Here is a 12,507-nt window from a genome sequence, read left to right as displayed (position 1 = left end):
TAATTTTTTGTATTTTTTAGTAGAGGCAGGGTTTCCCCATGTTGGCCAGGCTGGTCTCGAACTCCTGACCTCGTGATATGCCCGACTCGGCCTCCCAAAGTGCTGGGATTACAGGCGTGAGCCACCACACCTGGCCCCAAAAATTTTATAAATAGTCTATAACATTTTAATCTTGACCATAAGATGTAACTTCCATAACCTTTGTATAACCTTTATAACCTTTATTAAGGAGTCAGTTAATGCTCCAAGAAAACCTTGTGAATCTGACACAGGGGCCCATATGCTGGTCTTGCATCAGTGTGTCTTTGACATTAATGGTTAATTTATAGAGAAACTGAATTTATTTTATTTCTCAAAATCAACCCTTACCATCTCACATGCCCACCTCTTCTGCAATAGTCCCTGGGCCTTGAGGAGTTTAACAGCTTTAATTTGTGGCCGTGTGTCTCGGCAATACAGTTATTTTGATTGGCATCTTCTACTGGGCCTGAAGATGAGGCTTTAATTGATGTTAGTTTTTAAGATTTAGCAGAATTGGTGTCCTTTTTAGACCCAAGAATCAAAGCCCTGTAACTCAGTGTCACAAGGACTTTAAAAGCACATACAGAAAAATACATGGATGTAATAAACTTAATTTTAAAAAATTGTTTTTGGCCTGGCATGGTGGCTCACACCTGTAATCCCAACACTTTTGGAGGCCGAGGTGGGTGGATCACCTGAAGTCAGGGGTTCAAAACCAGCCTGGCCAATATGGTGAAACCCCATCTCTGCTAAAAATACAAAAATTAGCTGGGCGTGGTGGCAGGCGCCTGTAATCCCAGCTACTTTGGAGGCTGAGGCAGGAGAATTGCTTGAACCCGGGAGGCGGAGGTTGCAGTGGGCCGAGATCGGGCCACTGCACTCCAGCCTAGGTGACAGAGATTCCATCTCAAAAAAAAAAATGAAAAGGAAAAAGAAAAAAAGCAAGAGTAGCCTCTGTTGCAATAACTATTTTAGTCAATAAATCAGGTAACACAATACAAAAGTAGGCAGTTTAGCCAGGCAAGGTGGGCAGATCACCGAGGTCAGGAGTTCGAGACCAGCCTGGCCAACAGGGTGAAAATCTGATTCTACTAAAAATACAAAATATTAGCCGCGCATGGTGGTGCATGCCTATAATCCCTGCTACTCAGGAGGCTGAGGCAGAAGAATCACTTGAACCCGGGAGGCAGAGGTTGCAGTGAGCCAGGATCACACCACTGCACACCAGCCTGGGCACGACAGAGTGAGACTCCATCTCAAAAAAAAAAAAAATTTATTTTGCCAAGGTTGAGAGCACACACCTGTGACACAGCTTCAGGAGATCTTGATGACATGTGTCCAAGGTGGTTAGGGCACAGCTTGGTTGGTTTTATACATTTTAGGGAGACATAAGACCTCAATCGATATAAGTAAGACGTACATTGGTTTAGTCTGGAAAGGCGGGACAACTCAAGCACGGAGAGGGCTTCCAGGTCACAGGTAGGTGAGAGACAAACTGTTGCATTCTTTTCAGTTTCTGATTAGCCTTTCCAAAGGAGGCAATCAGATATGCTTTTTTTTTTTTTTTGACAAAGTCTCACTCTGTCACCCAGGCTGGAGTGCAGTGGTGTGATCTTGGCTCACTGCAACCTCCGCCTCCCGGGTTCAAGTGATTCTCCTGCCTCAGCCTCCCGAGTAGCTGGGACTATAGGTGCCCACGACCACGCCCAGCTAATTTTTGTATTTTTAGTAGAGACGGGGTTTCACCATGTTGACCAGGATGGTTTCGATCTCCTGACCTCGTGATCTGCCCGCCTCGGCCTCCCAAAGTGATGGGATTACAGGCGTGAGCCACTGCGCCCCGGCTCCAGATATGCATTTATCTCAGTGAGCAGAGGGATGACTTTGAGTAGAATGGGAGGCAGTTTGCCCTAAGCAGTTCCCAGCTTGACTTTTTCTTTAGCTTAGTGATTTGGGGGCCCCAAGATTCATTTTCCTTTCACACTGTATATCCCAAAGTTCTGGAAGAGGATCAGGCACATAATAGGTGCTCAATAGTTGATGAATTGAACCAAATTGAATTGAATCCTTCCCACAGTTCACTACTCCTCTTTTTTTTTTCTTTTTTTTTTTTCTGAGACGAAGTCTGTGTTGCCCAGGCTGGAATGCAGTGGCAGGATTTCGGCTCACTGCAACCTCTGCCTCTTGGGTTCAAGCAATTGTCTTACCTCAACCTTCTAAGCAGCTAGGATTACAGGCATGCGCCACCACGTCCGGCTAATTTTTGTACTTTTAGTAGAGATAGAGTTTCACCACGTTGGCCAGGTTGGTCTTGAACTCCTGACCTCAAGTGATCTGCCTGCCTCGGCCTCCCAAAGTACTGGGATTACAGACATGAGCCACCGTGCCCAGCCTTTTATTTTTTTATTTTTTGATACTCTTTCTGTTGCCCAGGCTGGAGTGCAGTGGCATGATCTTGATTCACTACAACCTCCACCTCCCGGGTTCAAGCAATTCTCCTGCCTTAGCCTCCCGAGTAGCTGGGATTACCGGCGTGTGCCACTGTGTCCGGCTAATTTTTGCTATTATTTTTAGTAGAGATGGAGTTTCACCATGTTGGCCAGGCTGGTCTCGAACTTCTGACCTCAGATGATCCGCCCACCTCAGCCTCCCAAAGTGCTGGGATTACAGGCGTGAGCCACCGCGCCTGGCCTGTATTTCTTAAATGTATTTGAATGTATTTGATTGAGGCCAGGCGCGGTGGCTCAAGCTTGTAATCCCAACTCTTTGGGAGGCCGAGGCGGGCCGATCAGCTGAGGCCAGGAGTTCGAGACCAGCCTGGCCAACATGGTGAAACCCCATCTCTACTAAAAATACAAAAATAAGCCAGGCGTGGTGGCGAGCGCCTGTAATCCCAGCTATTGTACTTGGGAGGCTGAGGCAGGAGAATCGTTTGAACCTGGGAGGCAGACGTTGCAGTGAGCCGAGATTGTGCCACTGCACTCCAGCCTGGGTGACAGAGTGAGACTTGGTCTCAAAAAAAAAAAAGTATTTGATAGAAGTCTCATGTCTCCCTAAAATGTATAAAAGCAAGCTGCACCCCAACTACATTGGGCACATGTTCTCAGGATCTCCTGAGGGCTGAGTCACAGGCCATGGTCACTCATATTTGGCTCAGAATAAATCTCTTCAAATATTTTACAGAGTTTGACTCTTTTTGTCAATATCACCATCTATTTTATTTGTGTCTTATCTCATTACAAAAAGAAACTGAGCTCCGAAAATCATATTATGCAGTAAACATGAGACTATTTGTGCATGCACACGTTATTTATTATAAAATACTTTTGCAAAGACACTGAAGGTTTTTGACGTAATAATTCATTCTTCTACCACCCTTACAGAGCAAAAGTTTTCTATTTTTTCATATTCCAAATGTGCCATCATAGTTTCAAGTCTGTCTTCTGCCTTGTTCTCTTAGCATTGCTTTATAACCAATTTTCATGTCGCTACGTGGTCTTTGCAGCTATAACGTTTCCTGGAATATAATGTTGCATCAAATAGATTTCATCTTCCTGGTAACAGCAGTGTCCATCTCCTACGAAACTCTCCATCACCCACCCGACTCCATGTGGTTCCAGTGGGACAGCCAATCACAACAGCCTCCCTCTGGCCACGTGACTCAGGTTTGTTCAATCACAGTGCCGTATTCCTCTGGCCACAGAGACTGGTCCAGGAATGAGCAGGTCAGGACAGACTCCAGGAGAAAGAGAAGCTTCTGGGCCTCTGAGAAAGAGAAGCTTTCTCTTTCCTCCAAGCTCACAAGGCAGGAACAATCTAAGTCAGGAGCTGTCTATACCTTGGCCTACTTCCTTCCCCTGGAAAAGGAGGAAGCCAGTCAACAGTGGGAGAAAATGAGCCCCATACCTGAGGGAAGCAGAGCCAAGAGAGGGAGGAAGCCTGGCGGTGGCGCATGCCTGTAGTCTCAACTACTCCAGAGGCTGAGGCAGGAGGATCACTTGAGCCCAGGAGTTCGAGGCTGCAGTGAACCAAGACCACGCCCCTGCACTCCAGCCTGGGTGACAGAGCAAAAAAAAAAGCTGGGGATTACAATGATATTTGAGTCCCTTGGACCTCCCAGCTTCCAGAGGCATGACATTCCCTTTTGCGCTTGAGCTGGTTTTAGCTGGTTTTCTGTCACTTACTGCTGAAAGAACCTTGACCATTACAATTTATCCCCTAGTGCAGAACTGGGAGACAGTCCTCCTAGGGAAGCTTACACTCTTTACCATTACAAATAATTAGTGCAGCCGGGCGTGGTGGCTCACACCTGTAATCCCAGCACTTTGGGAGGCTGAGGCAGGCAGATCACTTAAGGTCAGGAGTTCATGACCAGCCTGGACAACAAGATGAAACCCCGTCTCTACTAAAAATACAAAAATTAGCCAGGCATGTTGGCACAAGCCTGTAATACCAGCTACTCAGGAGGCTGAGGCCAGAGAATGGCTTGAACCCAGGAGGCGGAGGTTGCAGTGAGCCAAGATCACACGATTGTACTCCAGCCTGGGCGACGGAGCGAGAATCCGTCTCAAAAAAAAAAAAAAAAAAAAGACTTCAATTTGAAGTCTTTTTGAAGTATTATTATTATTATTATTATTTGAGACAGAGTCTTGCTCTGTTGCCCAGGCTGGAGTGTAGTGGTGCAATCTCGGCTCACTGCAACCTCCGCCTCCTGGGCTCAAGCCATTCTCCTGCCTCAGCCTCCCGAGTAGCTGGGACTACAGGCGCCCGCCACCACGCCTGGCTAACTTTTTGTAGAGACGGGATTTCACCATATTGGCCAGGCTGGTCTTGAACTCCTAATCTTGTGATCCTCCCGCCTCAGGCTCCCAAAGTGCTGGGATTACAGGCGTGAGCCACCACGCCCGGCCTGAAATATTATTAATGAAGTAACCCTAGGAGCTTCAATGTGACTGGTTTAGACTTTGCTTGGAGAGTCTGTTCTGGAAGGATGAAGGAGCCCATAAGCGTCTGCTCCATCTCTTTGTGTCCACACCCAGCAGCCTCCTTCGGTCTTCCTCATGTCATTGACCTGTTGGTTGGAAAAAGTGGGTGTCAGGGAGAAGAGGCACTTTGACTGTTCATTTAAAATCAGGCAGAGGGGTTTAGCCAAGCCAAGAGGCAGGGCATGAAGGAGCATTGTGGGAATCCAGGGAAGCGCAGGCACAGCGAAGAGGAAAGTAGGCACGTCTGGAGAACCGTGAAAGGGAAACAAACTGATCTGAAATGAAAAGAGGGACACATGGAGGCCATATCGTGAGCAATCACACCGGGCAGACAGGCCCTGAAGGTTTCAGAGCAGAGTAGGGGGAGTGGATCACGATAGTTTTTGTTTGTTTGTTTGTTTGTTTTTGAGACAGGGTCTTAAAATCGCCTTTGTAAAGTTATAACTGAGGAAATTATGACAGTGAAAGAAATCAGACCTCACCAGTTCCATGTTGCTTCTAATCTTTAAGCTGTCCTTGTTCATTCCTCAGCGTAGGCTGAACTAACTTTGGGAAGGAATTCAGTTCATGGTTTGACTCTGAAACAAAATTGTTAATAGTCCTTAACTGAAAAGACCCCCTTCTTGCCTGGGGACCAGTCTGCCTTTGCAGGACTAACAAATTGACAGATTAGCTACAAGATTATAAATTAGTTTGGGGGTCATGCAGCCGCTGGCTCTATGAATCAGCTGATACCACCCAGACCTTAATCTGGCACCACCTGTTCTGTCATCACACCCAGGAACAGAAGACAGCAAGAAAACCTCACTTCGACCCCCTGCAATTCCATCTCCAACCTGACCAATCAGCACTCCCCACTTCCCAAGTCCCTACCCGCCAAATGATCTTTAAAAACTCTGATTCTGGTAGCCGGGTGCGGTGGCTCAAGCCTCTAATCCCAGCACTTTGGGAGGCTGAGGCGGGCAGATCACGACGTCAGGAGATCGAGACCATCCTGGCTAACACGGTGAAACCCCGTCTCTACTAAAAGTACAAAAAATTAGCCGGGCGTGGTGGCGGGGGCCTGTAGGCCCAGCTACTGGGGAGGCTGAGGCAGGAGAATGGCGTGAACCCGGGAGGCGGAGCTTGCAGTGAGCCAAGATGGCGCCATTGCACTCCAGCCTGGGCGACAGAGCGAGACTCCGTCTCAAAAACAAACAAACAAACAAACAAACAAACAAAAAACTGATTCTGCTTGGGGAGACTGATTTGAGTAATAATGTAATAAAACTCCCGTTTCGGCTGGGCACAGTGGCTTATGCCTGTAATCCCAGCACTTTGGGAGGCCGAGGTTGGCAGATCACGAGGTCAGGAGTTCAAGGCCAGCCTGGCCAACATGGTGAAACCCTGTCTCTACTAAAAATACAAAATATTAGCCGGGTGTGGTGGCGCACGCCTGTAGTCCCAGCTACTCGGGAGGCTGAGACAGGAGAATCGCTTGAACCCAGGAGACAGAGGTTGCAGTGATCAGAGACCATGCCATTACACTCCAGCCTGGGTGACAAAGCGATACTCCGTCTCAAAAAAAAAATAAATAAATAAGATTTGGTTTAGGAGTCATGCAGCTGGAGGCTGCAAGATTCTGAACCTCCCCAAATTGCTCCTGGGGATAACATCATTCTTGTAAAACCTAAGATGAGTGCTTGTGATATTTTGCAGACCCTGCACTCAAAGCATCATCTGGCAACACCCGGATCAATAAACTGGTTCATCTGTTCTTGTGGCCCCCACCCAGGAACCGACCCAGTGAAAGAGGAGAGTTTCAACTCCCTGTGATTTCGTCTCCCACCTAACCAATTAGCACTCCCCACTTTCTGACCCCCTACCCACCAAATTATCAAAAACCCTGATCTCTGAATTTTCAGGGAGATTGACTTGAGTAATAATCAATTTTGCATGTGGCATGGCCGGCCTCGTGTCAATTAAACTCTTTCTTTACTGCAATGCCGTGGTCTTTATTTGTGCAGAGGACAGGAAGAGCCCACTGGGCAGTTACATTTCCACTGAGGATGCTAAGCTGGTGGAATATGGGCCTGCAGCTGCTAGTGGCCATCAGTGAGGTGGCCTGAGAATAAAACCGATACATGGCAGAGGTGGAGAGAGACAGATTTGAGTGCCTGATTCTGCTGGCCTGAAGTCATGTGTGTGTCTGGAGCTTTCAGTTGTGTGAGTCAATGAGTTCCCTTTTTGTAAGCTAGTTTGAGTTGGATTTCTGTCACTTACAACAAAACAATCCCTTATAAAGGGAGCTTCTAATAAAAGAAGTGTTGAGTCCAGCTCCCTCCGGTAGGGCCAGGACTTGGAAGTCCAGTAGACTCTTTCATGGAGCACAGAACACCTGGGCCTCATTTCTGTCTGCAAAGCTGTTAATGTAGGTAGCCTGCCTGTGATGGGGGATAAATCAGGAAGAAGCAGTAAGGAAAAGCTGGCCTGCTCTGGGAATTTATACAGGTTTTGGCCCAGGTGAGGATACACAGAGACGATCCTTCCTCACCACCACTAGGTGGAGTTTGAGCACTTCGGGTGCGCGCTCAGCAGCCAAAAGGAACCCATCAGTGTCTAGGCTACCAAGGAAGAGGCAAGAAAGACACAGCCCCCTGCCCTCCAAGCCTCCCCGTCTTTCTCGCTCCCTCTCTATGTTACCACCCCTTCTTTCAGACACCTGGGGACTTTTACGTTCCCTATGCAACTCCTCTCAAATCTGATTCATGACATTCACATCCAGGAAAAAATGGTAACAGCCTACAATAAATCAAGACAGCATGATATTGGTCAAAGGCTAGACACACAGATCAAGGGAACAGAAGTGAGGGCACAGAAATCGAGCCACACAAATATAGAAAACAGATTTTTTACAAAGGACCAAAGGAAGAAGAAGAAAGAAGAAGGAGAAAAAGAAGAAGAAGGAGAAGAAGAGGAGGAAGAGGAAGAAGACGACGAAGGAGGAGGAGGAGGAAAGAAGAAAGAAGAAAAGAGAGAGGAGGATGAGAAGAAACCAAACCCAGACCTCACATAATTTACAAAAATTAACTCAAAATGGATCATAGACCTAAATGTAAAAAGTAAAACTATAAAGCTTCTAGAAGAAAACATAAAAGAAAATCTAGGTGACCTTGGGCCTAATTATACATTTTTGGGTTTTTTTTGTTTGTTTGTTTTGTTGTTGTTGTTGTTGTTGTTTTTTGAGACGGAGTCTAGCTCTGTTGCCCAGCTGGAGTGCAGTGGTGCGATCTCGGCTCGCTGCAAACTCCGCCTCCTGGGTTGAAGTGATTCTCCTGCTTCAGCCTCCCGAGTAGCTGGGATTACAGGTGCCCGCCACCACACCCAGCTAATTTTTGTATTTTTAGTAGAAATGGGGTTTCACCAGGTTGACCAGGCTGGTCTCGAACTCCTGGCCTTAGGTGATCCACCCACCTCGGCCTCCCAAAGTGCTGGGATTACAAGCATGAGCCACTGCATCCGGCCTCAATTTTTTTTTTTTTTTTTGAGACAGAGTCTCACTCTGTCGCCCAGGCTGGAGTGCAGTGACGCGATCTCGGCTCACTGCAAGCTCCGCCTCCTGGGTTCATGCCATTTTCCTGCCTCAGCCTCCCTAGTAGCTGGGACTACAGGCACCTGCCACCACGCCTGGCTAATTTTTTGTATTTTTAGTAGAGATGGGGTTTCATTGTGTTAGCCAGGATGGTCTCGACCTCATGACCTGGTGATCCGCCCTCCTCGGCCTCCCAAAGTGCTGAGATTACAGGCATGAGCCACCACACCCGGCCAATTTTTGTATTTTTTTTTTTTAGTAGAGATGAGGGTTCACCATGTTGGGCAGGATGGTCTCGATCTCTCGACCTCATGATCCGCTGACCTCAGCCTCCCAAAGTGCTGGGATTACAGGCCTGAGCCACCATGCCCAGCCCTGATATATATATATATAGATAGATAGATAGATAGATAGATAGATAGATAGATAGATAGATAGATGTAATTTTGAGACAGAGTTTAACTCTTGTTGCCCAGGCTGGAGTGCAATGGCGCAATCTCCTGCTCACTGCAACCTCCACTTCCGGGGTTCAAGTGATTCTCCTGCCTCAGCCTCCCGAGTAGCTGGGATTACAGGCATGCGCCACCACCCCCAGCTAATTTTGTATTTTTTTTAGTAGAGAAGAAGTTTCCCCATGTTGGTCAGGCTGGTTTCACACCCCCAACCTCAGGTGATCTGCCTGCCTTGGCCTCCCAAAGTGCTGGGATTACAGGTGTGAGCCACCACGCCCAGACTCCTGATATTTTTTTTATTTTATTTTTTTTGACTCCTGATATTTTTAATTAAAAAAAAAATTAGGAGGTCAGGGAACCCAATATGGAAGGCAGATTGTGGCAAAAGAATTTAATGATACTACTAATGTATGAAATAACTTTTCTGAAGGGAGCTGGGGGAAAGGTGCTGACCTGAGTAATTTTGGAAATGAGTCGAGTCTGTAAGATCAAAGGCAAATGGAACTACACATAAGCACTGTACCCTAGTTTATAAGATTGTTCTCCACAGGGGTATGTGTTAACAATTCTCTTTTGAGACATTATGATTACAAATAAAGAAATATTTTATTTTATTTTATTGAAACGGAATCTTGCTCTGTAACCTAGGCTGGAGTGCAACGACGCGATCTTGGCTCACAGCAACCTCCGCCTCCCAGGTTCAAGTAATTCTCGTGCCTCAGCCTCCCAAGTAGCTGGGACTACAGGTGCGTGCCACCACGCCCAGCTAATTTCTGTATTTTTAGTAGAGACGGGGTTTTGCCATGCTGCCCAGGATCGTCTTGAACTCCTGACCTCAGGTGATCCACCTGCCTCAGCCTCCCGAACTGCTGGGATTACAGGCATGAGCTACTGTGCCTGGCACATATAAAGAAAAATTTTAGGCTGGGTGTGGTGGCTCACCCCTGTAATCCTAGCACTTTGGGAGGCCGAGGCAGGTGGATCACCTGAGGTCGGGAGTTCGCAAACCAGCCTGACCAACATGGAGAAACCCTGTTTCTACTAAAAATACAAAATTAGCCAGGCGTGGTGGCGCATGCCTGTAATCTCAGCTACTTGGGAGGCTGAAGCAGGAGAATCGCTTGAACCCGGGAGGCAGAGGTTGCAGTATGCCAAGATCATGCCATTGTGCTCCAGCCTGGGCGACAACAGCAAAACTCCATCTCAAAAAAAAAAAGAAAGAAAGAAGAAAAAGTTTAGGCCGGGTGCAGTGGCTCATGCCTGTAATACCAGCACTTTGGGAGGCCAAGGCGGGAGGATCACCTGAGGTCAGGAGTTCGAGACCAGCCTGGCTAACATGGTGAAACCCTGTTTCTACTAAAAATACAAAAACAAATTAGCCAGGTGTGGTGGTTCGTGCTTGTAATTCCAGCTACTCAGGAGGCTGAGGCAGGAGAATCGCTTGAACCTGAGAGGTGAAGGTTGCAGTGAACTGAGATTGCAACATTGCACTCTAGCATGGGCAACAAGAACAAAACTCCGTCTCAAATAATAATAATAATAATAATAATAAAGAATTTAAAAAGAAAAACAAAACAATTCTGATACTCCTATACACGTGTCCTGGAATAAACAATTAAGTAAATAGATGGCAAATTATGGAAGCCAGGTTTCTCACAGTTGGGGTGGGAGTTTAGATAAACAAGGGAGGTGGCTAGAATGATCCATGTAGTAATGGATTAAAGTTGGAGACATCAGTATGAATTCATGCTTAGCTTAATATAGATATGGATGGTTATATATGGAAATACATGTTTGTGTATATACGTGGGTTAGTATACACACATATATTTCCTTGCTTTCTCAGATGTGAGGGTCCAGAAGCAATGATACCTCAAAAGCAACAAGCACACCTAGGGCCCAGATCTTGGATTCTAAAACCATTTGCCAATAAAAGAAAATAGGGGTCCTTGGAGAAATGGCTGATTGCAGGACTGTGGCAGGAAATACACAAAATGAGCCTGGAGCATTTTATAGTACCAGAAAGTAAGGTGACACTAAATAAAAACAAGGTTTTAATTAAAATACCAATGATGACAACAACACTGATGGGACTCTTATTTTTCTCCCTGGTTGAGGATTGACCGCCATCATGAATGACTTAGTAACTATCTGAACTAGGAAGTTCATGATCAACTGACTACATACTTCAGGAGGAACAAATGGTTATTGAGGTCCTTCACCCTGGGAAGACAACAGTACCTAAGACAGAAATTCAGGAAAAACTAGCCAAAATGTATGAGACTACACTAGATGTCATCATCTTTGTTTGTTTTTGTTTGTCTTTATGAGATGGAGTCTCCGTCTGTCACCCAGGCTGGAGTGTAGTGGCGCAATCTCGGCTCACTGCAACCTCTGCCTCCTGGGTTCAAGTGATTCTCCTGCCTCAGCCTCCCGAGTAGCTGGGATTACAGGTGCCTGCCACCACACCCGGCTAATTTTTGTAGTTTTAGCAGAGACAGGGTTTCACAATGTTGGCCAGGCTGGTCTCAAACTCCTGACCTCATGTGATCTGCCTGCCTCTGCCTCCCAAAGTGCTGGGATTACAGGCGTGAGCCACCACGCCTGGCCTCATCTTTGTATTTGGATTCAGAACTCATTTTGGTGGTGGCAAGACAACTGGCTTTGGCATGATTTATGATTCACTGGATTATGCAAAGAAAAATAAACCCAAATGCTGACTTCCAAGACATGGCCTGGATGAGAAGAAAAGAACTCAAGAAAGCAATGAAAGGAACACAAGACCAGAATGAAGAAAGGGGGACTGCAAAGGACAGTGTTGGTGTGGCAAAAAGCCAAAGGAGTAAAGATGCTACAGTAACATCTGTGGCCACTGTGGATTTTTCACAAGATTTATAAACTAAAAACTTTTGTGTGCAAAAAAAAATGGATGGGGGTATGCTAAAGAGACACAGGAGCCAACGGAAACAGCTCTCAAAGGCCAAAGCTAGAACGAAATTAGCTAGAAAATAAATATGAAGTATATTGGATTATAACCCAAAGTATAAATGTCCATGAGTCCATACTGATTAAATAAATGGTTGAATAAATAATGGAGGAGTAGAGACAAATATCTCATATGAAAGAACTCCAGGCCAGGGATGGTGGCTCACGCCTGTAATCCCAGCACTTTGGGAGGCTGAGGCGGGTGGATCACGAGGTCAGGAGATCGAGACCATCCTGGCTAACACGGTGGTCTCTATTAAAAATACAAAAAATAAGCCGGGCGTGGTGGCGGGCACCTGTAGTCCCAGCTACTTGGGAGGCTGAGGCAGGAGAATGGCGTGAACCCGGGAGGCGGAGCTCTCAGTGAGCTAAGATCGCGCCACTGCACTCCAGCCTGGGCGACAGAGCGAGACTCCGTCTCAAAAAAAATAAAAAATAAAAATAAAGAGCCTAAGGACTAAGGATTTAATTAACCAAGCACCAACCCGTGCAG

General features: G+C 46.5%; 2 long non-coding RNA genes across 2 annotated transcripts, besides 2 other annotated features; one reads left to right on the top strand and one right to left on the bottom strand.

Moving 5' to 3' along the window:
* LOC124903914 (uncharacterized) lies at positions 3,312-4,376 on the bottom strand. The gene is made up of 2 exons (XR_007065605.1): positions 3,928-4,376; positions 3,312-3,538 (listed from the first exon to the last, which is right to left on the bottom strand). It is a non-coding gene; the product is annotated as an uncharacterized LOC124903914 (long non-coding RNA).
* Positions 3,474-3,862: a transcriptional cis regulatory region, noted in NCBI's record as "candidate enhancer chr17.641 targeted for multiplex CRISPR interference". NCBI's record gives its function as "positively regulates SAT2 gene expression with high confidence in K562 cells {active_cell/tissue: K562}" and the evidence as "EXISTENCE:mutant phenotype evidence [ECO:0000015][PMID:30612741]".
* LOC124903915 (uncharacterized) lies at positions 3,527-6,989 on the top strand. Its single transcript, XR_007065606.1, has 2 exons — positions 3,527-3,686; positions 6,705-6,989. It is a non-coding gene; the product is annotated as an uncharacterized LOC124903915 (long non-coding RNA).
* Positions 12,358-12,487: an enhancer, noted in NCBI's record as "active region_11697". NCBI's record gives its function as "activates an Ori minimal core promoter by ATAC-STARR-seq in GM12878 lymphoblastoid cells {active_cell/tissue: GM12878}" and the evidence as "EXISTENCE:reporter gene assay evidence [ECO:0000049][PMID:35858748]".

This window comes from Homo sapiens, chromosome 17 (assembly GCF_000001405.40).
Source record: "Homo sapiens chromosome 17, GRCh38.p14 Primary Assembly".
NCBI lineage: Eukaryota > Metazoa > Chordata > Mammalia > Primates > Hominidae > Homo > Homo sapiens.
The sequence above is the reverse complement of the archived record's forward strand: the minus strand, read 5'-3'. Positions and strand labels throughout refer to the sequence as shown.